Here is a 27236-nt window from a genome sequence, read left to right as displayed (position 1 = left end):
AGAGCCGGCAACTGTTTTGAGCACCCAGTAGAAAGGACTGCCTGAATTTCCACCCCTACCCTCTTTTCCTCACCTCCCCATCCAGCCCAACAAGCCCCTCCAATCTGACTACCTCCTCCTTCCCTCCTTTTGGGAGCACTGCTGGATCAGCCTTTTTATTTTATGTCGCCTGATTTATCTGTTCTGGGAAGCTTTCATCTCAACTTGGAGAATGTTCAAAGTAAAGCTCACCCTGTTACAGACTTAATTGGACCATATTTCAGTCCCAGTGCATCTGTTCAGTGTGGCTTCCGTATCCTGGGTCCATAAACTTTTATTAAGTTATATATCAGGGAATATACACATATATTCCACTAACATGTTTGGGATCTTTTTTCTCCTTTTCCTTTTTTTCCCCCTCTCCTTTTCTTTATGTTGTTTTTATTTTCACCACTGGGGAGGGATACCTATGGGCTCAGAGGGAGATGGAATAGAATTTACTAGATTTCCCTATCTTTGTTTAAACCAGAAAGGACAGGATCACATTAACCTCAATTTAGTACAGCGACTAGATGTCTGAGTCGGGATTCTGCTAATTTCCATTCGGTTTACTGGGTATGTTTGATATGCTAATTCTCAACACCCATCTCCCCAAGCTCTCCAAGAAATTTGCTTTTCAATAGCCCTGCTTAAGCGGGGGAGGAGAGAGAGATAAGTGAAAGGGATAATTTTGAAAAAGAAAACAGACTTAAAGCGGAACAGCAACAACTGTTTGCTCAATCCTGTTTACTAATTTGAAATAACAGTTTAAAATAGATGTGAAATACCATGCCACCGGAGGGAAAACGTATCTCTGCCCTTGGGCCCAAGTGTTTCCGGATTTGACAGTCTGGGTTGAGCGCTTTGATTGGTTGACCTGGTACTGACGTCACAATTGTTCAAATCTGCTGGAAGGAAAATTCCTCCCCTTGAACGTTGTCCTAGATCATCTCTAGTGCTTGGGTTGAGACCTTTCTGAACCAGGTGACAGAGGGTAATGGAGAAAGGTTTTCCCAAGAGAAACTCTGGGAAGCCATTGACGAGCAGAAAGCGCGCGGAGTGGCAGGGGTCATTACCGTCGTTACTGGCAGTAATGATGCGGCTGGTTCCACGTGATGAGAGCTTCCTGCTTTCCAGTATGTGCAGCAAAACTCAGATTAAGATTTTGGTGCTGGTGTCCACTGAATTTTAAAAGCTCATCAAAATTCCCAAGGCCGGGTGCAACCTTTTCAAGTGTGGCTCTAACCTGCATCTATCTAAGCACCAGTCAAGCCCGTTGCATCCACAGCTCAACTTCAGGCCTTGGGGAGCATTTTTCTAATAGATTTTGAGGTCCCACTGTGCCTTCACCAGGACATACTGTTCCACTCCTGCGTGCCACCCCTACGTATTTACTGATCTTCTTAAGTCATTCTCTAGTTTTTTACTCCATCCGTCAGCACCATGGTGATCTTCACCTACTGTTTGTTCCTGGAACCCTGGGCAGGAATCTGCCATTCACGTTCATAAGAGCTCTCCGGGTCTTCCTCAACAATATCTTCTTGGATGCCCTTTATTTAAAGTTTGTAAAGAAAGGAGAACTTACAGGATAATCAGGCAGCTCTGGGACTGAATCCCAGCTTCACCATTAGTTCTGAGGCTTCAGACAAGTTATTTAACCTCCCTGAGCCTGGGTGAAACGGATATAATTTAATTACCCTACAGGGTATCTTGAGATTTAGTGATAGTGTATCTAAAAGCATTTAGTGCAGAGCCAGGCTCGTGGATACGTTAATAATAATATTTTATTAAGAGTATCATTATAACATTACTATTATCGTGACCATATTGTTTTGTTATTATTATGATTATGTTATATTCTTATTTTACTATTATGACAGTCATGTGCCGCATAACAACATTTAGTCAATGATGGATCACAAACATGACAGTGGTCCTATAAGAGCTCACTTCCTTGCTTCTGCTTTCACTATATTATGTGTCTGCTCCCTCTTTGCCTTCTGCAAATTTAGTGTAGCCTCAGTGTGCCATATTTATAAAGCCTACAGTGTTGTACAGTAGTGTCCTAGGCCTTCACATTCACTCACCATGCACTCCCTGACTCACCCAGAGCAACTTCCAGTCCTTCAAGCTCCATCCATGGTAAGGACCCCACACAGGTGTATCTTTTTATCTTATACCCTATTTTTACCAAATCTTTTCTATGCTTAGATACACAGATACTGAGAGACAGGACTAGCTGGATTTCCTAGGCTGACTAAAAATCCCTAAACTTAGCTGGGAAGTTGACCGTGTCCACCTTTAAACACGGGGCTTGCAAGTTAGCTCACACCTCACCAATCAGAGAGCTCACTAAAATGCTAATTAGGCAAAAACAGGAGGTAAAGAAATAGCCAATCATCTATTGTCTGAGAGCACAGCAGGAGGGACAATGATCAGGATATAAACCCAGGCATTCAAGCTGGCAACGGCAACCCCCTTTGGGTCGCCTCCCTTTGTATGGGAGCTCTATTTTCACTCTGTTAAATCTTGCAACTGGTCCGTGTTTGTTACAGCTGGAACTGAGCTTTTGCTTGCCATCCACCACTGCTGCTGGTCAACGTGGCAGACCCGCCACTGACATCCATCCCTCCGGATCCGTCAGGGTGTCCGCTGTGCTCCTGATCCACTGAGGCGCCCATTGCTGCTCCCCATCCGGCTAAAGGCTTGCCATTGTTCCTGCACGGCTAAGTGCCCAGCTTCGTCCTAATGGAGCTGAACACTAGTCACTGGGTTCCACGGTTCTCTTCCGTGACCCACGGCTTCTAATAGAGCTATAACACGCACGGCATGGCCCAAGATTCCATTCCTTGGAATCCGTGAGGCCAAGAACCCCACGTCAGAGAACAAGAGGCTTGCCACCATCTTGGAAGCAGCCCGCCGCCATTTTGGAAGCAGCCCACCACCATCTTGGGAGCTCTGGGAGCAAGGACTCCCGCAACAATACTTACCACTGTGTTACAACTACCTATTCAGTCTAGTAACCTGCTGTAGAGGTATGTGGCCGAGAAGCAGTAGAGGATATCATACAGCCTAGGTGTGCAGTAGGCTATACTCTCTAGGTTTGTGTAAGTACACTCTGCGGTGTTCAAAGGGTGTTGAAATTGTCTAACGTTGAATTTCTTAGAACGTATCCCCATCATTAAGCAACATATGACTGTATTATTATTATTATTATTTTACACATGAGGAAATTGATTTGAGAGTTTCATTCCTCCAATGTCAATTTTAGAATTCTGTTTACTGAAAATCCTAAATTGTGGATATGCCCAAAGCCCTGTGTGAGGTAATGGAGATAGAAGACGAACACAGAGTTCCTTCTGACTAGGAATTCTGGGTGTAGTGGCTGAAGGGGACCAGGCAGAGGGAGTGTGAGGGAGGGGAATTAAGGGGGTGGGGAAGGCGCATGAAAGGAGCACACTTCATCCATAAACCACCACAGCACCACAAAGTGCTCTAAGTGAAATGCACTGAAGCATTTGGGAGTGTAGAGGAGTGGCTGCCTGGTAGACTGGAAGTGCCATCTGAACAGCCGTGTTACTACAGATGGGTTTTGATAAAGGAACGTGTGTTACCAGGCTGGAAATTAATAAATGGCATCAAAAGAGGAAATAAATGATATATACAAAAGTCTGAAGATGAAGGATGTATTAGGGACTTGCTAGAAGTTCAGTGTGATAGGAGTATTGGGTGTGCAGGTATAATAGAAGTGAGTACAAGGTGAGGTTGAAAACTCAGTGTATTAGTTATCTATTACTGCTTAATAAACTGCCCTAAAACCTAGCTTAAAGCAACAAATGTTTATCATCTCACAGCCTCTGTAGAACAAGAATTCAGGCCCACTTCAGCTGGTGCCTCTGGTTCCAGCTCTTATCTCTAAGGAGGCTGCAATTGAGGTGTCAGCCAGGGCTGCAGTCATCTCAAGCATCCATGGATGTGAGGGGGATTATCTGCTCCAAGCTCACTCAAGTGGCTGTTGGCAGGATTCGCTTCTGCACTAGCTGCTGGCTTGAGAACTCCCTCAGCTCCTGGCCCTGTAGGCCTCTCTATGGGGCAGCACCCAACAGGACAGCTGCTGCCAGCAGGGTGAGTAAACAAGAGATCAAGAGAATTATCTGGTGCCAGCAAGATGGAAGTCAAGGTCCTTTCTAACCTTAGACATGACATCCCACTCTGTTTGCCATATTCTATTTGCTAGAGGAGTGTCCCTAGATTTAACTCACATTCCATGGCAAGGGATGACACAGGGGGTAAATACCAGGAGAAGGGGACCATTGGGCCACCTTGGAAAACTGTCCACCGTGTGTACGTAGGGGGAAGCTCATAAAGGAATTTATATGCTTGACGAAGGAATGTGTGCTTTATTTTAAGAGGCACGAGAAGCTACTAAAAGAACTTCAGGGATGGGGAGTGGAGATTGACACTTTAGGTAGGATCACTCTTACAGAAGTGGGGAGAGAGGATTCCAGTGGGAGACTCTGGAGGGACGAGGCTAGTTGGAAGCCTGCGGGATTAGACGCAGGAGATGATGGGAGCTTGACCCAAGGCAAGGAGAGACGATGCAGAGAGAAGGGTTCAGGTTGCAGAGCATTTCATAAGCAGAAACAATGAATCTGTCTTGGTGACTGGCTGGGGAAGAGAAGCAAATCAACCTACCTCCAGGTGGATGAACTGTGATCATACCACTGTACTCCAGCCAGGGTGACAGAGTGAGATCTTGTCGCAAAAAATAAAATAAAACAAAACACAACAAAAATCTTACTATATACCTACAGATGAGCGGGATACTTTAACTACAGTTAAGTTCATCCTCTAGCCCTGCCTTCTCTGACAGCTGCTGCATATTAAAAGCACTTTAGTTAGATCTCTGTTTGTGTGGTGCTTTGAGTGTTTCTGCCTCTTTAGAGGTTGGTGTCTGCCACTCCTGTCTTCAGTGGGGGAGAATTTTTAAATGTCCCCTCTTACACTTCCTTGCCATCCACAGAGCCCAGAGAATATTGCAAATGGCAAGAAATGCCTTCTTTAAAAACAATCTCTTTGTTGCTTCATTTATTCAACAAATGTGTATTGGAGATGGACTGTGTGCCCAAGGCACCCTGCAGGCACTGGGATGCAACAGGGAACAAGACAGATGGCTCCTGAATCATGGGCCTTACTTTTGAGTGGGAGAAGTAAATCAGATGCAAAAAAAAAAAAAAAAAAAAAATAGTGCAAAGAAGGAAATAAACAGAGTGCTGGGATTCAGAATAGCCATGAATGGCCAGAGGAGGCCTCTTTCAAGAGGTGACATAGGAGCTGAAGACAAGAAAATCTAGCCACATAAAGAGCAAGAGGAGGGTGTTCCAGGCAGAGGGAAGCCCAAGTGCAAAGACTGAGGTTGGAGATGGCTTAGCATGTCCTAACAATTGATAGAAGTCCATGAAATAACTCTATTCAGTTGAAACAAATGTGAGCCATGTATGTGATTCTAAAATTTATTTTCACAAAAAAGAGAAAAAATTAATATATTTGACTTCACCTAATATATCCAAAATATTATCATTCAACATGCAATCTATTTTCAATTAGTCACTTTTAAAAATACTTTTACTCTTGCTAGGTTTTCAAATTTCAGGGTGTGTTTTACACTGTGAGCACATCTCAGTTGCAACTGGCCAAGTTTCAGGGAGAATGAGACCAGAAAAAATATGCTCACATAGTCCCTGAAACTTAGTCAAATGCAGACATCACGTGATGCTCCCTCACTTACTCTAGGACAGGAATATGGAGGATGGCAGTCACTGGTCATGTGGCTCCAGGTCACCTCAACGGCTTGATGGCAACACGTGGCCAGCGGCTGCCATCTTGCATATCCCTAGAGTAAGTGATGGGGCATCACGGGAGCTGAGGCTGAGGAGACAGATGGACGTAGCTGGTCGTGCAGAGCCCCGTAGAATGTGGTAGGGAGGTGGGGGGGTCAGTCTCAATGTAGTGGAAACTACTCAAGCTTTCAATGCAGACAACGATTTCTGAAGGAGCAAGGAAGGAATCGGAGACTTTAGGCAGAAGGCTGTTGTAACAGTGTTAAGTGAGAGAGGAGATGATAAGGGCTTGAACAAAAGCATTGGCAATGATTGCAATACTAGCTAATACTTAGTGTTAGTTTCCGAAAACTTTTACACGGGTTAATTGTTTTAACCTTCACAATGACCCTATGAGGAAGGTACAATTGTATCACGTTTTCCAGATGAGAAACTGAGGCAAAGATAGGGACAGAGTAGGGATTGGAACTTAGGTAGTCTGGAGCCCTGCTGTCAGTGTTCTACTGCCTTTGTGGCAGGCAAGAGCACCTCTGTGAATGTGTCTATCTATTCACATAGATAGACACATAGATAGGAAGAAGGATGGAGAGCTGCTGGTGGTTGTTGGTGAAGACTGAGGAATCTGGGGCAGGCCTCTGTAAGGTTGTCCACCTTTCTTGAATGAGCAATCTGGTAGATGAAGATGTATATTATTGGTGATACAGAGAAAGGAGAAACTGGAAAACAAACAGTGTGAGGTGTGGGAATAGTTGATGGTGAAGCTGCCCAGGCAACTGGGGACATCAAATGGCAGTTGAATCTGAGGTTCCATTGTGGAGAGGTCTGGCCAGAAGATAGACATGTGGGAGTCCGCAGCATGTATACGGTAATGGGAAAAGGATGAGGGCACTTAGGGAGAGAGAACAAACAAAAGAATTGAGGCCCCAGCACTGAACTCTCAAGATCTCCCACGTATACAGGTGGGGAGAAGCGTCCAGGCAATAACGAAGCCTGAGAAACACGGCCATTTCTCACATTGCTGCTTCCCTATATCCACGTGCTGTTCTTTCTGCTGGATACCCTTCCTTTCCTCTGCCTGCTCACCTCCTGCTCATTTAGATTCACTCCAAAAATTGTCTATCTCCTCTCTAGTTTTCTTCATACTCTCTGAGGCTAGGTTGGCCATCCTCTCCTATATTCGTTTCTTAGGGATGCTATAATAAATTATCACGAACATGGTGGTTTCAACTACAGTTTAAGAAATTTAAACAGAAATGTATTCCCTCACACTTCTGAAGACTAGAAGTCTGAAATCAAGGTGCTGGCAGGGCCACGCTCCTGCTAAACACTCGAGGGGAGAAGCCCTCCTTTCCTTTCCCAGTTTCTAGAGGCATTGGGTGTTCCTTGGATTATGACAGCATCACTGCAATTTCTGCCTGTCTTCACACTGCCTTCTCCTCTGTGTCTGTGTCTCTTCTGTGCATGTCTCTTATAAAGACGCTCATCACTGGATTCAGAGCCTGCTTGGATAATCCAGAATGAGATCCTTAATTTAAAGACACTTGCAAATGCAATTGGTAAAAATTTGGTATTTGATAAATATACCAAATAAGGTAACATTCCCAGGTGTATCCTTTTGGGCCATTGTTCCACCTACTACAGGTCCTCTGAGCTCATTTATGTCTTTATAGCTACCTCCAATATAGGAAGGAAAAGAAACACATCATTGTTTCCATTCCAACTAGAACATGCATTCTCAACAGGGGCAATGTCTTTTCTAAGGGGGAGAGTATTGGTTGATGAGAGGGAAAAGATTATATACACAGTATATAAGCAAATACACAGTATGCCTGTGATATTAAAATGTCATGGGGAGGGCAGTTAGGAAAATATGTCTAAAAAGGCTCTGGAGACGGGGGATGTTAAGTTGATAATGGAAAAAAAGAGTTTGAGAAACACTGCACTGGAATAGTGTCCCTCAAAGGCAGGTACTGTGTTATAGTCACCCTTGTACAAGTGACTTGCACACTCTCACCCCCTCCACACACACACACACACACACATACACACACCGCTCCAACAGCACAGATCAGGGCTGACCACGGTAAAGATGGCACAGAGGCATTAATGACACATGGATCTGCCTTCCTCCTGCTCTTAAATGTTTCCTTTAAAGTAAACCCGGAGTGGCCAGAGCATCACAGGGCAGAGTCAGGACTGCACCTGGCCTCACCCTCCAGTCCATCCACCCTCCATCTGTCTCTGCCTCTCCAGTGTATGATGGAAGCATCCTAAATTATGGACTTTAATAGGCGTCTATTTTATAGTCTAAAGTCACAAACTCTAATGATTTAAAATATCACTACAACAGCCGTCGCTCCTTTCAGAACTCTACATATTTAAACAGAATTTCAGTTACCAGAAACAACTCATCTTTAGAGAGGAAAAGGGAGGAATGGGGATGGGAAATCCATTGATTTAAGGTTTCATCAAGAAGAAGACAGTGTGGAGAGAGCCTTGCTCAACATCAAATGGGCTCCAGTGTTGTGCATTTAGCTAGGCAGAGAGCAGTACAAATTGGAAGATTTAAAAGCCTGAAGTTTAAACATCATTTTTGTTTTTCTAGGCCCTAGATAATAATAATACCATTGTGCAAATTATAAGTCTTGCCTATTTATGAGATGGGGGAAATCAAACGTTTGCATCAACCAGCTGATTGCAATTCTGAAGGCCGAGATTTCCAAGTCCCCTTTCCTCGAGGCCAGTTCTCCTGGTCCCAAGAATGGCATTACCTCTTTATACTGGACCCCTCCGCAGCTGCCCTGCATAGTGTTTGAACATCTGTCCTCCAGCATCTATTTGTCTTGCTTCTTCCCACAAGAAGGAAACTGCCAATGCCCTGGTGCATGTCCTCATCACCATTCTCCTGAAATGCAATTATTAACTGGTCTCTGGTTTTAGCTGCTTCTTCTTCTTTTTATTTTTCTTGAGACACAGTCTCGCTCTGTTGCCCAGGTTGGAGTGCAGTGGTGCAATCTCAGCTCACTGCAAACCTCAGCCTCCCCAGTAGCTGGGACTGCAGGTGTCGCCACCATGCCCGGCTAATTTTTGTGGGGTTTTTTTGTTTTGTTTCATAGATACGCGGTTTCACCATGTTACCCAGGCTGGTTTTGAACTCCTAGCCTCAGGTGATTCACCTGCCTCGGCCTCCCAAAGTGTTGGGATTACAAGTGTGAGCCACCACACATGGCCTTAGCTTCTTTATTCTTTAATCCATCCTGAATATTTCTTCCCTATTTGTCTACTAAACTATCTCTTTCATCATGACACTTCTCTTTTCAAGAATCTCTACTGGCCCTCTGCTGCTTATAAAATAAAGCCCTAATTCCTCAGCTGGGTTTTCAGGGCCCTCCATAGGTCCTAGGATGTGTCCCATGTTCCCTGCTTCTGGGTACATTCCCAATTCCCTAACCAAGCCAGAAGCTTCCCTACCCCTCCTCTCACACCACCCTCATTCACATCTCCAGGTCTCTGCTCCTGCTGAGTCATCCACCTCCAATGCCTTCTCCTTTCTTCCCATTTATTCTTCTCTTTCCTCTCCTTCCAGGACCTGCTCAAATCCCACCTTATTCATAAGCTTTGGAGTCTCCAGCCCACCCTGAGAAGGGAGATTAACACTAAACCATGCCCCACTCCAGTACTTCAGGCACACCATTCATCAGGGAGATTTCCTAACTGGCAAAGAAATGAGCTGAGTTTATATGACTCTTGTGTCCTTCACAGTTCTATACAAAATGGTAGGAAATATTGTGTTTGCTTTGTTCATTTATTATTACCATTAGAATTGCATTAGCCACCAGTTATTAAGTACTTACTATAGGTTAGTTTATATATGAATGTATATCCTTTAATCCCCCCAAGCAGCCCTGCATGTTAGTGATATCTAATCTGGAAATATAGAAAAGAGGGAGATAATGGGGAGGAAGGATGCACATATTTGTCTCATTGCACCTTGGTCCTTGGCTCAGTATGGAAAGCTTCATAGTTATCTCATTTGATCTCTTTCCATTCTATCATTAATAACCATGTATTTTGATCCTATTTTTCAGATAAAGAAATTAAGGCCCACAGGGGTTAACAATTTGCTCAAATGCATGACCAGTGACTAGCGAGTGCAGAACCGAACACTGAATTCACGTCTCTCTGACTCAAAATTTGCACTTTCCACTCTCCATGCTCCTGCAGATGGGCAGCCATTGCTTCATGCAATACATCTCCTTTTCATCTGTAGAATGGGAAGAATCACTCTGTATTTTCTGCTTTTCTTTAAAATGGAGATTGTGCTTGAAAATCTCTCAAACATTGTATATTAGCTTTGTTATAAATACCACTTGGTTGGTGCCTTGAAATCCAGACCCATTCATTCAAGCTGCACAAAACACCACAGAGCCAAAAAGAAGCCTCACCTACTGAGACCTGTAAATATCTCTTTCAAATGGTAAACAGCTTGCTGGAATACTGCTTACTTCTGACTTGATGGCATGCAAACTGAGACAACTGTGCACTCCATTGTACAGTACTTTAAATGTATCTTGAAGTCTTAACACATAACAGTGTATTTAGGATGCATCTCATGTACAACTGTGCACGTGTGTGTGTTAAATAAGCAACTAGACACATTTTTCTCTTAGAGTCACTGGTAAAATATGGAGTCATAAGACTTAGTGCTAACACGGTGAAACCCCGTCTCTACTAAAAATACAAAAAATTAGCCGGGCGTGGTAGCGGGCGCCTGTAGTCCCAGCTACTCGGGAGGCTGAGGCAGGAGAATGGCGTGAACCTGGGAGGCGGAGCTTGCAGTGAGCCGAGATCGCGCCACTGCACTCCAGCCTGGGCGACAGAGCGAGACTCTGTCTCAAAAAAAAAAAAAAAAAAAAAAAAAAAAATGACTTAGTGCACCAGCAACAGGAGAAATCAAATTCTACCCATCAACACACAGAGAACAAACCATCAGGATATTCAGGAATTCTAGCGGCAATAGACTCTGCCTTTTTAGCTCCTTCTCCCTTCACACGTTGTATTAGTCCACTTTCACACTGCTGTAAAGACACTACCCAAGACTGGGTAATTTATAAAGAAAAGAAGTTTAATTGACTCACAGTTCTGCAAGGCTGGGAAAGCCCCAGGAAACTTACAGTCATGGCAGAAAGGGAAGCAGGCACATCTTTCATGGCAGCAAGTGAGAAAGAGTCAATGAGAGTGCAGGAAAAACCACCATTTAAAACCATCAGATCTCATGAGAATTCAGTCACTATAAGGAGAACAGCATGTGGGAAACTTTCCCCATAATTCAATCACCTCTCTCCCTTGATACCTGTGGATTACAGGTCCCTCTCTTGACACCTGGGGATTACACTTCAAGATGAGATTTGGGTGGGAACACAGAGGCAAACTACATCAAATGTGGAGCCGAAGCTGTTAATGCACTGGTTTTACCATCATGCCTTAGTCTGTTCTGCATTACTATACAGAAATACCTGAGACCCGGTAATTTATAAAGAAAAGAGGTTTATTCAGCTCTCAGTTTTGTAGGCTGTACAAGCATGGCACCAGCATCTTTTTCTGGTGGGGGCTTCAGGAAACTTCCAATCATGGAAGAGACAGCCATTGTAACACACTGCAAGAGAGGTGGAGCAAAAGAGGGGGAGCAAGAAAGATGCCAGTCTCTTTAAACAACCAGCTTTCACATGAACTAAGAGCGAGAACTCACTTATCACCAAGGGCATGGCACTAAGATATTCATGAAGGATCCACTCCTATGATGGAACATCTCCCTCTAGGCCCCACCTTCAATGTTGAGATTCAACATGAGATTTAGAGGAGACAAACATCCAAACTATATCACATCACCACTTGCTTCTTCTCATCTTTCCACAGGCAAAACCATTCACATATACAGGAAAGGAAAGTGTGTCCTATGACAGTGAGTTTCTTAACTCTTATTATTTAGCAAAAAAAAAAAATCCTTCCTTTTCAAGTAATATCTAATATGGGACCTTAGCACATAAAACAGAGAAAATAATATTTTGTTCTATATATGTATGAATTTACATTTTTATCAGTCACTTACTATAAATTCAACCCAATGATTAAGTTTTGATGAATACAAAAACTTGAAGTCAGGATTATGGATGACAAGAGTGTAGTCATATACATCTCAAGAGCTAATTCCTGTATTTTCTTTTGGATGCACAATATTGAGAAAACCCTAATCTAAAATGGATAAGGAGTATGTGTAGTTCTGAATTAAAATAAAATAAAATAAAATAAAATAAAAAGCATAAAAATGATGTTGAGCTACAATTATACTAATCACTGATTTAGCCATAGGAATTTCAAATGCTTTACAGAATACAGGGTGACAAGCTTTATACTGAAATCTTCCCCAAAACATGTTAGCCTAGCAATCCAACTTTACATGCAACTAGGTTCTCACGTATTATCATTTGGTACATAAAACATTTGAATTGTGTGTGGTGTGTGTGTGTGTGTACATGGGCATACATGTGTTTATTTCAGGTTGAAACAGAATAAAGTAAAAATTTCAAGAAGTGGGAATCCAATTGATGTGGAGCTTTCCAGTTAATGGTCTCCACTGAACCTTAAAATTCTGGACAATACAATATGAAAACACTGATTCTAAGGTATGGAGAGGCAGCCAAAATGGGTCTGAGCTTAGTGTTACCAAATGAGTTTCAATCTCAGTGGTCCACACTCGGAGCACCATGACACCATAGACCCTCAAGTGATCAAGAGATGTGAAGCAAATGCAATTTGTCTCTCAAGCAAGACAGGATAAATTGTACAAAGATGCATCCACCATGGGTCCTGATCATGCCACTTCTTTAAAACCATCAGTGTGGCCCCCCAATGCATGCATCAGCTTGTCTCAACTCTGAATCTTGCTACACAAGCATCTTCACAATCTGGCCCTGGCAATAGCTCATGCTGTGACCCCACTTATGTTTGCATCTCTTGTCCTCTGAATTTATCTTCTAATTTATCTTCATATACTTTCTTGTTTAAGCAACTTCAATGTCCTTTTCTCTAAATAAATTTTCCTAACCCATCCTTGCCATAAAATCTAGGCAGAAATATTGTTGGAGTAGTTTTCTTCATTTATTATTACAATTAATAAATTTGTGTTAGCCACATTTATTAAGTACCTACTACAGTCCAGCTTACATATAAATTTATGTACTTTTATTCTCCCAGGCAACCCTGCATGGTAGCAATATTTAATTTTCTTACATTCAGAGTGATTATATATAACCTATCCAGATGTCAGGCATGGACAAGGCAAAATTCAAACCCTTGTCTGCTGACTGCAAGTTCTGCCATATTTTCACCTACTATGTTGTTTTCTTTTTCTGAACTTATGTCTGCTAGATCTTAGTACATAGTTCTGGGACAGCTTTATCAAGTTGTATGGCAAGTAAGTATTCTCATGTTGCCTCCTTCATAAAATTCTGTGAACTTTTTGATGGTATAAATGGTGTTGAAACCAAACCTCTAGGTATGACCCATAGTTATACCTCAAAAAGTTGCTGAATTTAGTCTAAATGAATAGAACCATAAAACTGGTAGCTCAAAGCGATACTCTCATTTACTTACCTACCACCAGGCAAGAATTACAAAGAATCTATCCTAGATAAAAAATGTCCGTGCTTTCAATGATTATGACTGTGTTTTAGTCCTAGACTGTTTTGGGGTCAAGATGAGCATTTCTCAAAGTGAGGTATTACTCAGGGGATGAAATAGGGTTTCATGTCCACAAATATTTAGAAAATTCTGCATATCAAATCAATCCTATTGAAAATATTATCCTTAGCCTATTAAAGACTCTAAGAAGTAAAGAAAACCAATTAGCCCTGTTCAGCCTAGTATTTCTCAAATTTGTATGCATATCATAGAATTTTTTCAGATAAAACCCATTAGTAGTCCTTGTATCCAATGTTCTGCAGAACCCCTTTTGCAAAGATTAGGTCTGCTCTAATTTTTTATTGATTGACATTCTATCATGTTCTGAAAAGGCTTTACGGTGCTGAGTTGCACTTCAGTTTTCATCCATTTCATCTCCATGATCAGTAGGGAACTGAGAACCATTTATTTCCTTCCCTTATAAATAAGAGGACTAGTTTTCCCAAACCTTGGTTCATCAGCAGAAAGCTCTCAGGGTCATTTCACTTTCCACACACATTTAGGATTTGTGGTATCAGACTGATCTCAAGGGAAATAAAAGCTATAAAAGCCCCCTCCACGTTCAACAAACAAGGTCCATTTAGGAATGGAGGAGTAAACTCTGGCTTCTATGCCTCACTTGAGCACTGCCTCTGGGATGGGATTTTCCCACCAATGTTTGCCAAGTAAGATATAACATAGCATGTCATTCTTCTCCAGAATTCACATAAGCTCATAGGCTCTCACAAATTATTTAAGTGATTTTCCTGGAGGTCAAGGGAAATTTATACAAAATCATAAGTCATGGGACTTTCTACAAAGCCTTCTGTTACATGTGTGTAATACATTGTGATATGGTTTGGCTATGTCCCCACCCAAATCTCAACTTGAATTGTATCTCCCAGAATTCCCATGTGTTGTTGGAAGGACCCAGGGGGAGGTAGTTGATTCATGAGGGCCAGTCTTTCCCATGCTGTTCTTGTGGTAGTGAATAAGTCTCCGGCAGCTGCACCATCTAGGAAGTGAGGAGCGCCTCTGCCTGGTCGCCACACCATCTGGGAAGTTAGGAACGCCTCTGTCCAGCGGCCACACCATCTGGGAAGTGACAAGTGCCTCTGCCCAGCCACCCAACCGTCTGGGAAGTGAGGAGCGCCTCTGCCCGGTCACCGTGCAACCCTCCAGGTGGGAAGTGTCAGCCTTGTGTGTGATCTTTCTGCACTCCCTAAGTTTGCATTTTCCATTTTAAAGTTTACTTCTAAATTAAAAGTTTTAAATTTGGGAACATAATAATAATAATAATAGTAATAATAATAATGTCTCACAAGATCTGATGGGTTTATCGGGGTTTCCACTTTTGCTTCTTATTTTTCTCTTGCTACCACAATGTAAGAAGTGCCTTTCATCTCCTGCAATGATTCCTCCCCAACCATGTGGAACTGTAAGTCCAATTAAACCTCTTTTTGTTCCCAGATTTGGATGTGTCTTTATCAGCAGCGTGAAAACGAACTAATACACATTGATATATATGTCAATGCAGTGACTTCATCAGAGGACAGAGCGGATACCTTGAATTCCAAAACCTTGACTTCCTCTTTCTCTCCCACACCTCATGGTCAATCCTACGGCAAGTCCTGAGAGCTCAGTCTTTAAAATGTATTCATAAATAGACTGCTCTCACCAATCCATCACTGCCGCCTTTGTCAAGCCTCTATAGTCTCTTGATAACCACTGCAACAGCTTCCTAACTGGTCCTCCTGCTTCCACACTTGTTCTTCTGCATTCTATTGTCAATTCCTATGAGCAGATGATTTTTTCAAAACATAAGATAGACCACGTAACTCCGTTGCACCCAAGCACCAAACCTACCATGACTTCTGCCTCAGAGTAAAAGCCAATGTCATCACAATGGTCTACAAGGCTCTCTCTAGACTTATCTCTGACAACCCACCAGATTCCCCTGCCCAGCCAGCTTGGCCTTCTTGCTGGTTTCTGAGCATGCTAAGCATGTTTCAGCCACAAGAACCTTGCATTCACTACAGCTTCAGCCCGACCTGCTCATTCGCCACTAAGTGTGTGTATATTGCTTTTTTGCCTCTGTGAACGCCAAAAATTTGAGACAGATCTCAGTTAATTTAGAAAGTTTATTTTGCCAAGGTTGAGGATGCGAACCTGTGCAACAACCTCGGGAGGTCCTGATCACATGTGCCCAGTGTGGTCAGAGCACAGCTTGGTTTTATACATTTTAGGGAGACAGGAGACATTGATCGATATATGTAAAAATGAACATTGGTTGTCTGGATAGGTGGGAAAACTCGAAGCAGGGAGGGGGTTTCCAGGTCACAGGCAGGTGAAAGACAAATGGATGCATTCTTTTGAGTTTCTGATTAGCCTTTCCAAAGGAGGGAATCAGACATGCATTTATTTCAGTGAGCAGAGGGGTGACTTTCAATAGAATAGGAGGCAGGCTTGCCCTAAGCAGTTCCCAGCTCAAATTTTCCCTTCAGCTTAGTGATTTTGGGGGCCCAAGATATTTTCCTTTCACACCTCCTTCAATCAAGTCTTTGCTCAAATGTTACCCTCCTGACTATCAACTGCAACCTTACCCTCAGGAGCCCTCACCCTCCTCTGCTTTCTGTCTTTCTGAAACACTTATCACCTTCTAAGATACACTGTGATTTAGCTAATATTTTATTATATTTGTTTTCTGTTCCCTTTCCTTCCACATATACTAGAATGTGAGCATGATGAAGGCAGGAACATATGTTCATTTGATGCTTACCTAAATCTCCAGAACGACTTGATCGTAGATGATGAGAGCTAGACAAGAGCTTTGAGTGAGTAGACAGAAACTTAGAGTGAGTGGGCACTTTGGAGATTCCCAACCTGTTTATACAACTCTGGGGTTGGGCACAGGTAGTGATAAGGACTGGTGAGTTATTGTTAATATTTGACAATGTCAAATGCACTCCCCCATCTATCCATTGTGAGGCTACAGGACACCCTGAAGTGTCATACTTCTTTGCTTCTACTTGAAATTATCATAGCTCATTGTGTTAACCCTGATTATATAAGACTGATCAGAATCTCTGTCTACCAGTTACAAATGCCTTTGATTTTTAGACTTGGCGAAATGAATTAATTATCATGTAATATATGCAGATTGGTAGACGTTTTTGAAAACATGGATTCCATGGTTGGGGGAGGGGCAATAAATGAGGGCAAGCCATTGATCTCTTTCAATCCTTTGTGCAAGATGAGGACTTTGAGACTCTGGGAGATTAAGTGACTTTCTCAAGGTCACACAGCTAGTCACTGGCAGAACAAGGACTAGAACCTAGTCTTTGATTCCCAGCCCTTCGTTAGTACGATCAAAGACACAGTTTGCAGCAGAGGAGACATATACATGCTGTATATAACATTTGCATAACATATTACACTAAAGACGGCATCCCAACTGAGATTCTCAGCAGGAAAATAACAATTATTTAATCAGGGTTCTATTTAAACTTTTATTGTGAAGGTTAGGTTAAGATTCATCGGCTTGATTAAGGGTGCTGCCTACACATGAAAGTGTTTACTGAGCTCAGCTCCCTGGAGTGAAATTCAAACAAACTTGTGACATCCAAGGCACATTTTCGTGTCCTGAAAGCCATGAATATCTTTATTGCGAGCCAAATCTTCTTCTTAAAACAAACAAATGGGTATCCTTAAGGACAAACTATAAACAGAGTCTGCCAAGACACAGAGTCCTCTCTCTATGCCGACAGTGGCATTTCATAGCTAGTTTTAGTCTTTAAACCTAATGAATATGAATATACCTAGATACACAAAATGAAAAGCTTCTGTGTATTCAAGAGCATTATCATGTGCATTACACTATTTGATCCTTAGAATAATCCTGCAGGATTGGAAAAGCAGATATTATTATCTCTGTTTTAAACATAAGGGAGCTGAAAGCACTCAGGGAGTTCAAAGATCTGCCCAAGGTCTCCCAGCTTATTAGCAAAGGAAAACACTAGAATGGGAGGGGGCATTTATCCTCATGCACCACACTGACACTTACAGTACAGCTCTTAATTATTGACAAAGGAGTAGGGGAGGAACACTGCATAGTATTTCACTGTCCCTCTCCCATTGATAGCACCAATGACCTGAGACTTGAGCTTAAAACAGGAAATGGTTTCCATTTTACAGAGCAGGAAGGAACAGAGAAGATACCCTTCAGGATCATCCAGTACTGTGGAGGTGAGTTGGAAGTGTAAGGTGAGGCTGAGCTCCGTTCTGGCACTGCTGCCTTCTGTGCTTGCCTGGGGCATTGTGCTTGGTCGCTGATCTCTGCAGGCTTGGCTGGGAGCTGAGCTCCTACTGGGCATGTGGTCTTAGGCCAGTCACTCCTCACTCTGAACCTCTGCTTCCTCATGGGTAAAACAGGGCTTGCAATACTTACTTACCTGCTGGCATTTTTATGATGATCAAAGGAGATAAACCACCCTGGAAGCCTAGCTCTGGGTCTGGCAAGAAGTGGAAGCTCATAAATAAGGGCTCATTGACCTTTGTGGGTTCATCATCCATTTATCTGATGTGTATACAGGATTTCCTGCATCCCCATCCCTGGGTTAGGCGATATAGGAAGAAAGCAGAAACACAATCTCCTCACTGAAGTCTGGATACACAGATTGATGATTCAAGACTTAAAAATACCTGGCAAGGCTACCACTGTACTTTAAAGAATTGTAAAGAAAAGGTCATCATGTGATCAAAATATAAATAAGTAATGTTGCCATTCTCAGCAGTACAAGAAGAAAGTAGAGAAGTTATTTGGGGTCACTAGACCCTGACACCCCAACCTCTATCCCCAAATCACTGAGTCTGGCCCTGTAGATTAGTGAGAACAGGTTCCTATCTGCACCTCTTCCACCTGCCCTTTTGTTCCCAGTTCTTAGCAATGTCAAGGAAGGACTCTTTCAGCCATGCCTCATTGACCCAGCCCTGATCTAGTCTTCAAGCCTAGGTCCCCGGAACTCCTCTGCAAAGCTCCTCTGCCATTCAGTGTTCAGGCCTCCTCTGCTCCCGGCCCCAGCTCCAACACATGCTTCTGTCTCACTGGCTTTCACTTGTCCTCTCTCCTCTCTGGGAACTGGAGTTTCTTTAAACAGACAAGCAATTACTGGCATGTTATCCACACTCGACTGTGTGTTGGTACAACACCCGCTGATGTACAGTAGCAGGCAGCTTGATAATGGGACGTATTTAAGCTGATTGCCACTGGAGATAAGTGATCCCTCTGAAAGAATGCACTTTTGTTAAACTTCTGAAGGCAGAGAGGATAAGTAAAGTTTTATTATATTTTCTGTTTAAAAAAAAAATAGCAGCCTTTTTGAGAATGGCTACACCTCCCCCGAGATTCTCATTTCAGATTAGGCTATCAGGTATATAGTGCAATTGGAAGCTTCAGCTTCCACTGGAGCCTCTGTTTGATAGTCAGGCCTTCCATAAGATCCTCCCTGAATGGCTGACACTCCCCCCTTGCTAGCTGGCTGGCTCTGTGTCCTTAAGGACAGCTATATTAAACTCAGGCCTCTCTCTCCTCTTAACTCCTCCCCTTTCCCTTCTCTCTTTCTCTTCCTATTTTCTTCTTCACATCCTCTCTCTTTTCTCTCTCACATTTTTCTCCAGCCTGTGTCCCCCTTCTCCCCTCGTCTCTTCTCATCTCTCCGCTTCTTCTGCTGTCTTTCCATTTCGCACAGTCTTTCTGACTCTCTATGCCTGTCTTACCTCCGTCTCTCTCCTCCCCCATCCTGGTGCAATTGCTTCTCTGAATCCCCTGGGAAAGCTAGCCTTGGGGAAGCTGTTAGGGTGCTAGGACTGTAAGCATTGTTTTTGCAGAGCAAGAAAACATGGCAAAATCACATAGGTTGCATGATTTGCTCACCAAGAGCTAAATCTGAGGAGGAAGGCAGGCGGTGCAGGGCAGAGAAGAGCTCAGTAGGTTGCTGGAAGTTGGACTAGGAGGATAAAACGGGGATTTAGGGAGAAGACAGCTGAGTCAGGGAGAAGCAAAAGGGAGCTAGAAAACAAAATGGAGATGTTGGCTACAATTGCCTGACATAGGAGCAATAAGGAGAAAAAATTTCATTAGTCACACATGGAGCTGCTCTCCAGCCAGTCACCACTGCACTGTTTGGATACAAAGGTACCAAGGAGAAAGCAAAGCGCCAATCAATCTCTTAAAGGGGCCACTTGCTGGCATCTAATATCCAGATAAGTGGCAGTGGGAGACAGGTGATGACCGCTTTACTGTGGATTCTTTAGTCGGTGAGTGGAGAGGAGCATCTTTATAAACACATTACACCTCATGGGGAGTAGGGAGAAATTCAATTAGGTTTGAATGAGAAAGGTAACTTGAATATCAATTAATTGTCTAATTGAAGATAATGGAGACCTGGGGGCACCCTGCCAGATTGATTCCCATACCCAAATCCAGAGATTTTCTCAGGGATTAAAGACCCAACTTCATTACACATTTCTATTAGATTAGATGCTGATTGCATTCGGCACTCTGAGTTAATTACATAGTTAATTACACAGCCAATAACTCCCCTTTCCTAATAACCCTGCTGGATGTGGGCTGGTGCTGCCCAAGGGGGATCCTGCACCTTTAATGGGAGTCCTGGGAGCCCAAGGTGGAGGGAGCCGCCTTCAGCGAGGGGACATGTGAATACTAATAGGGAATTATTCTAATTGTCTCTTGTTCTTGATGAATAGTCAATTATTCTAATAACATTTACCATTGTATTCATTCATTATCCAAGGGTAATTAGGAATGAAGGGCTTGTGGGGCCTCTCCTGTGGCACAAACAAGGCTGCACTAACTGGGATTGTCTTCATTTCCCACCTCAGGCGCCTCCAGGACAGCCTCCCCTTCTCCTTGCTTTCCTCCACCCACCTGGGACAGAACTTTGCACTTGCCGAAGTACTTTCCCATGGCGTATCTTCTTTGATTGTAAACTGAGCTATGAAGTAGGTCTCAGTTTTCCTATTTTATTATCTAGAAGGCAGAAGGGGCCTTTGACTGGGAGGAAGGGCATCCAGTAATTTGTCCAAGGACACAGGGCAGGCAGAGGTGGTGTTGCTCACTGGGGTCTGGGTTTCGCCGCAAAACTCCTTCTTGTCTTGTGCACTTCAGGGCCTCTCAACTCAAAATTCTTCTTTCTAGTATGTCTTTATCAATTTGGGCTGCTGTAGCAGAGTATGTAGACTGGGTGGATTATAAACAACAGAAATTTTTTTCTCACAGTTATAGAGCCTACTAGAATTCCAAGGTCAAGGTGCTTGGCAGATTTGGTGTCTGATTAGGGACCACTTTCTGCTTCACAGAAGGCTATTTTTCATTAGTTCTGCATATGGTGGAAGGGACATGAGGTCTCTCTTGATTTATAAGATTGCTAATCCCATTTGTGAGGACTGTACCCTCATGACCTAATTACCTCCCATAGGCCTCATTTCCTAATATTGATGATTAGATACGAATTTTGAGAGGACACAGATGTTCAATGTATAGCAGATTTTAATTCAAGGTTGAGTGCATTTGAGTTTTAGGTACAGATAAAACAGAATTCAACACATCCAGTTGGCTGCCTGATGGCACAACTACCAAGACTGAAATATTCATTATTCTCAAGATTTCTAGACACCATCTTTCAGCTGGTTCACACAGGGACATGGAAGAGCATGCATGGAAGGGGCAGTCTCCTTTCCACCTGCCTACCTGCACTCACTCACTTAGGCCACAAATAGCAGCAACCCCAGTGAAACTGACAACATAGGGTGTTTCATCTGCCATGACCACTTTGTGTTAGAGAGGGAATTATATGAGAAAGTCTGTCATCAGGCCAAAGAGAAAGGAGAGGAAAAGCCGGCCCCACAGCCTTCCAAAGGTTTCCTGTAGCTAGTGAACATCAGCAGATGCCTAGTGAGGCAGGCCAAACCAACCCAGATGAAATGGTAAACAAAAGCATATTGATGATAAACCAATCAACCAACCAACAAACAAAAAAGCAGCTATGGTTTCCAAACACTTCATTCCCCTCCACTCAACACATTTTTTTTAATACGTTATACTTTTGCTCATGCCATTTCCTCTACCTCTGCCTCACTATTAAAGTAGCTCTTATGAAATCATGTCTTTTGCTGCAACGTGGATGGAATTGGAGGAGATTATGTTAAGTGAAATAACTTAGAAACAAAGTTAAATACTGCATGTTCTCACAAGTGGAAGGTAAATAATGTGCATACATGGACATAGAGTGTGGAATAATAGACATTGGAGGCTCAGAAGGGTGAGCAGGTGGGAAGAGGTTGAGGGATGAGAAATTGCTTAATTGGTACAATGTACACTATTTGAGTGACTGTCACAGTAAAAGCCCAGACTTCACCACTAAGCAATATATCCATGAAAAAACCTGCACTTGTACCCCTTAAGTTTATATCAATAAAATCAATCAATAAATTAAATAAGTATAAAAAGATATCTCTCATTAAAAGCTCTTCTCTGAAAACTGTTCTGATGCTGCTGTTCTTCTTTCTTCTACCTCTCTCCCTTACGTAGGGTCCTGTCTCATGTAGCACACTGTAGTGTGATGTCTGCTGACATGCCCACTACCCCATACAGAGGGAAATATTTGAGCCTGTCAGCTATTTCTTCTCCATCTGTGTCCAGCATGGCCTCAGCATATGGAAGATACTCAGGATGGAACTTTCTGCTTTGCTGTAGCTATTTGGAAAATTGGATATTCAATCACACAGCAGGCTTGACCAGCCTGGATTTTCCTCACTGAAGTTTTGACGACACTGTTACGGCCAGCACAGCCACTCCTGGATGCGACTCTAGAAAGGATTTTGATGGCCAACAACCTTTCATAGCTCTGCAGTCTTTGGGCATCAATCACCAGGGGAGTCTTGGCAAGGAGATGGTTGAAATGGGGAAAAGGGGCTGTCCTGTGTGAGGTGTTCTATCTCCACTCCCATCTCCCCATCGCGGCTCTCCACCTCCCTCCTGAACACTCCCAAGGCTTTCCAGCTTCCTGATGCTGTATACTCCCTGGGTACCCAAGCCTTTCATCTGTGTCCTCTCACCCTTTCTCCCAGTGAACCCCATCCACGGAGTAGGTCCTGATACTGAGGATTCTGTCCTCAAGCTTTTCTACCAAAACTAACCTCCTCAATGCCCTATATGGCAAAGGATCCTGTTTCTGTTACAGAGGGTCTAGCTGTCTCAATGAAGATTTAGCATTAATAGTTAACAAAACCTCAGAATGCTCAATGCATTCTTTACACTGAACAAAAGCTCCTTCAAACTCCTTAACTCCCTGGCTTTCACCTGAGGGTGGTACCACCCCTATGCTTCATATAGAAATGGTTCAGGAGTTCTGCATTGTCACAATGACTGGGTGAGTCGCTATCATTTAATGGGCTAAGAGCAAGGACGTTCAATGTTTTGCATTGCAGAGGGTAGTCCTGCACAGTGAATTGTCCCACCCAAACTGCCAATAGCACTTGTTTAGAGATACTGCAGTGAAAGTTGGGGTGAAAAGTACCAACTGCAGCAGAGTCCTGAGATAAAGAGGGGAGGTGCTTATTTTGGGGAACAAAGAGCCTCCTGAGAAGTGGCTGCTTATCCTTCATGTACCCAAACCTGCCTCACAGCCTTCTGTAGTCTCCCCTGACCCTGCCCTCCTCTATTCCGGGGCACTGGTCCTGAGTAATGCCAGGTGTAGGTCTGAAGATTGGTAGGACCAATCTCCACTGGTGCGTGGTCTCTCCAGCTAAGGACAGAATTGGGAAAAGAGACTAAATAAGCACATGTTCCTTCTCACCTAACTCTGTTCGTGGCCTGAGCAAGGCTCCCACAGAGAGGGCAGTCTCATGTCAGGGTAACAGGGTGGGCGATTGCAGTTGCTAGATGTAGCCCAAGGGTCCCCTTCAGACCAGTCATGGATGTTTTAATGGCTCACTTGACCAATGGGGGCACACAGCAGCTGTACGTGGACTCCTCCCCAGGGAGCCCTCAGTCATTTTGAAAAAAAAATTACATCTGGAGAGGTTTTACTTTCCAAGGGAAGGCAGAGAGAGCAACTCCTTAACCGACATTTCAAGTATGCATGCTAAAGCTATCAGTCTGGAGGGAGGTAGCTGGCCCCACGCCTCTTCTGCCCCAGGGGCCTTTCCAGATGGGTGGTGTGTGGGCTCAAACCCACTCCTCTACAGGTGATGGATAAGACAGCAGAACAGAAGACATAGTACTCAGGGTCCTTGGTTTCAAGCAACTGAAAATCACACTAGCCAAGAAAGGAATTTATCTACAAAGTATTGGGTGCTTAAGCAATTTGTCAAAATGCAATGAAGACCAGGTTCAGAAAATAGTATAGAACAAAGAAAAACTGGGAAGCCATAGCCCAAATCAGACCACACCATAGCCAAAATCAGACCTCCACTGCCACGGCCACCCAGCGAGGCTGCAGGCCGCTCTGCCACACTGGACACTGGGTATACCACAGTCTCCACCATCATCCCAGTCCCTACAGAGACCTCACATTGTTGCTATCACCACTTCCAAGGCAGCCTCCCTCTGGCCCTTGCTTGTTTGTGCGGCAGCTCGCAAGTTGGATGGATGCATGTGATTGGCCAAGCACGGGTCAAATCCCTGCACTGTATTTCAAGGGAGGCTGGAAATGTGTCTGGCCTTTTTAGCTTCTGTAATAGAAGCAGATTCTGCCTTCTATGGCAGTACCTATGATACGAGGTACCCCAAACATTAGAAAGATATTCAGATGCTAGGCTGCCAAAAATAGGCAAATATTTACTGCCCCCAAAAACCCATAATGGAAGTGGCTACAGAGATGGTTATTACAAGAAATGCATCCAGACCAGTCAAGAAGTAAAGTCACTGGTATCGATGATGAAGACAGGAAAATATGGACACAAGATAAAATACTAAATTCTGGGCCCTCAGGCTGAGACAATTGAGCAAATTAAGATTTTCTTATCCTCCCCTGACAGATTCCAAGAGGACTTAAATTAACTAAAATCACTTGCCTACAGTGACATTGCCAATTAGGAAGAAGCAGAGACTAGAATCTACCACCCACCACCATGCCCCCAGCACAGTTCACCAGGTGCCCTGACAGCTTTGTCAGTAAACATTGCCCAGTACTGCGAGACACAAGCCCTGAGCATCCACACTGAGAGTGTACAGACTTCTCCCTGAGTGTGCTGCTATCATCCAAGGTTCAGTCTACAAGAGGATTGAGCAGTTTCATCCATGCTGCTTTTTTTTTTTTTTTCATCACTCTGTCACCAAGGTTGTAGTGCGGCAGTGTGATCTCAGCTTAATGCAGCCTCGACCTCCCTGGCTCAGTGTAATCCTCTCACCTCAGCCTCCTGAGTAGCTGGGATGACAGGGACGTGCCACCATGCCCAGCTTAGGCTGGTTTTGGCAAGAGAATAATGAGCCAGTATAATGCACATGGATGTGCTGAATTGAATTACTGTTCCCAGTTCTTTACCTTTCTGTGTATCCATACCTTTCCCACGGCCTCATCTTGAGACTTGCATATTTCTACTTGCATATTTCTACTTATATCTCTTGTGCCCCAGCTGTCACCATGAGAACACGCCCCACCTAGCAAACTAGCTCAAGCAGACTAACAGACAGGTGGAGCACAGCTTTTCCAGCAGAACCCAGCCAGATCAGCCAACCACCGGCCAAACTGCAGTTGGGCAACCAAAAATAAGCCATTACTCTTTTAAGCCACTGAGTTTTATGACTGGTTGATCATGGATTAATTACTGACCAGTACAATAAACCTTAGATTCTTTTTTTGTTTTTGTTTTTGTTTGAGACGGAGTCTCGCTGTCTCGCCCAGACTGGAGTGCAATGGTGCGATCTCGGCTCACTGCAACCTCCACCTCCTGGATTCAAGCGATTCTCCTGCCTTAGCCTCCCAAGTAGCTGGGATTACAGGTGCCTGCTGCCACGCCCGGCTATTTTTTGTATTTTTAATAGAGACGGGGTTCCACCATGTTCCCCAGGCTGGTCTCAAACTCCAGAGCTCAGGCAATCCACCTGCGTCGGCCTCCCAAAGTGCTAGGATTACAAGCGTGAGCCACCTCGCCTGGCTGATAAACCTTAGATTCTTTTTTAAACACTTGACTTATTGTTTAGAATCCAGCAGCCTGGAAATCAACCCTATCCCAACACAAGCACACATACACACACGTACATGCACACACTTTTGTTCACACCCATGTGTACACACATGCACGCAAAGCACAGCCAGGAGAAACCTTGAGTTTGCAGTTCCTATTCTACCTAGAGCTGGAGGAGCTCCTATGACATACCAAAACCACTCTGTAGTTGGCTTCCTACCTTTCTCTCTCTACTTCCAACCCTCTTACCATCTCTCTTGCACATTTCATTGACTGTAGGTCCAGGGCCGGGAAGCACTCTACTCTCAGCCATAGAAAGAAGGTGAGGAGAACAGCAGGTGTCTAAAATCATAATGTGACCGAAGATCTCCTGTCACCTATATGTCAACAGCCAAAGATTTGGTCACTGAGGTTGGGTGGCTGCTAGAAAATGCCAAGTGCTTCTCAGTATTCCTAGAGGTTTCTAGATAAGTGGGTCCTGAGGGGTCGAGGCAGACATCAACATGGACATGCCACAGAGATTGACACCGCATCGTGGGGAGGAGGCCCAGAGTGTGGGAGAGGGGAGGGAGCCAACCAGAAGACAGGCCCATGTTGGTGAAGATAGTGAGGAGACAAATGAACAAAGCAGTGTGGCATCTCAGCGGCGCATGCACTCCTGGTCTTGAGCTGAGTGAGGCGTCCGGCAGATGCATTTTAATGTCACTTAGAACTAACCTACAGCTCACATGTCTGTTAGATATGGGCTTGAAACGAACTCCATAAACACTGCAACAGCCCACCACCACCATGTCTATAGCCATGCCTCCTATTGAAACCTTTCTTTTGTTTCATCTTCCCCTGCTAACAGCCTGAGTCACAGGTGGGTAGGAACCTCATGCCAGGCTCTGTGGATCCTGGAGAGCCGGGAGGCTGAGAGAGGATGAAGAATCTCATAGTGATCAGAGCACCTAATAGCTGAACCCACCCCAAATCTCTGGGAGCTCTGAACCATGAAGGGAACATGAGGAACATATTCCAAGGAAACACTTTATCACTGAGAGACAACATATTGATCACAGATTCCAGGCAGCTGATTTCTCAATTTGGGATGCAGTGGACGTGTTAATAAATTCCTTTCCTGCTGGGAAGATAGAGATCCCAGGTTTCTGAAAGCTGGCTGCAGAGGGAAGGCAGCCGACAGATTTCCGCCAGAGGATGGGGAAGGAGTGGCTGGGCTCAGGCTGACCCTGGGACTCTGATCTGGTGTTTGAAAGAACTTTTGCCAGAGGAAACTTCCCTACTTGACTCTAAGCTTCTGCTAATTAGCAGGCATTTTGTACCTTACCATTGCTTTTCCATACATTATTTATTCCAACTAAATGCTCTAAACATTGTGAGGTCCTTCCTCACTTGCTAAACATTTCAGACCATGGGGTTAATATGGGATGTGACACCGAAAAGCAGAAATGA

General features: G+C 43.8%; 1 long non-coding RNA gene across 1 annotated transcript in view, besides 3 other annotated features; it reads right to left on the bottom strand.

Moving 5' to 3' along the window:
* Positions 1-27236, bottom strand: part of LOC105379315 (uncharacterized) — a 283462-nt gene that overhangs the window by 128615 nt on the left and 127611 nt on the right. The window lies entirely within an intron of this gene.
* Positions 429-975: an enhancer, noted in NCBI's record as "NANOG hESC enhancer chr8:20676219-20676765 (GRCh37/hg19 assembly coordinates)". NCBI's record gives its function as "activates a minimal SCP1, AML or CMV promoter by ChIP-STARR-seq in naive and primed H9 embryonic stem cells {active_cell/tissue: H9 hESC(naive and primed)}" and the evidence as "EXISTENCE:reporter gene assay evidence [ECO:0000049][PMID:30033119]".
* Positions 14191-14691: an enhancer, noted in NCBI's record as "H3K4me1 hESC enhancer chr8:20662503-20663003 (GRCh37/hg19 assembly coordinates)". NCBI's record gives its function as "activates a minimal SCP1, AML or CMV promoter by ChIP-STARR-seq in naive and primed H9 embryonic stem cells {active_cell/tissue: H9 hESC(naive and primed)}" and the evidence as "EXISTENCE:reporter gene assay evidence [ECO:0000049][PMID:30033119]".
* Positions 14692-15192: an enhancer, noted in NCBI's record as "H3K4me1 hESC enhancer chr8:20662002-20662502 (GRCh37/hg19 assembly coordinates)". NCBI's record gives its function as "activates a minimal SCP1, AML or CMV promoter by ChIP-STARR-seq in primed H9 embryonic stem cells {active_cell/tissue: H9 hESC(primed)}" and the evidence as "EXISTENCE:reporter gene assay evidence [ECO:0000049][PMID:30033119]".

Source organism: Homo sapiens, chromosome 8 (assembly GCF_000001405.40).
Source record: "Homo sapiens chromosome 8, GRCh38.p14 Primary Assembly".
NCBI lineage: Eukaryota > Metazoa > Chordata > Mammalia > Primates > Hominidae > Homo > Homo sapiens.
The sequence above is the reverse complement of the archived record's forward strand: the minus strand, read 5'-3'. Positions and strand labels throughout refer to the sequence as shown.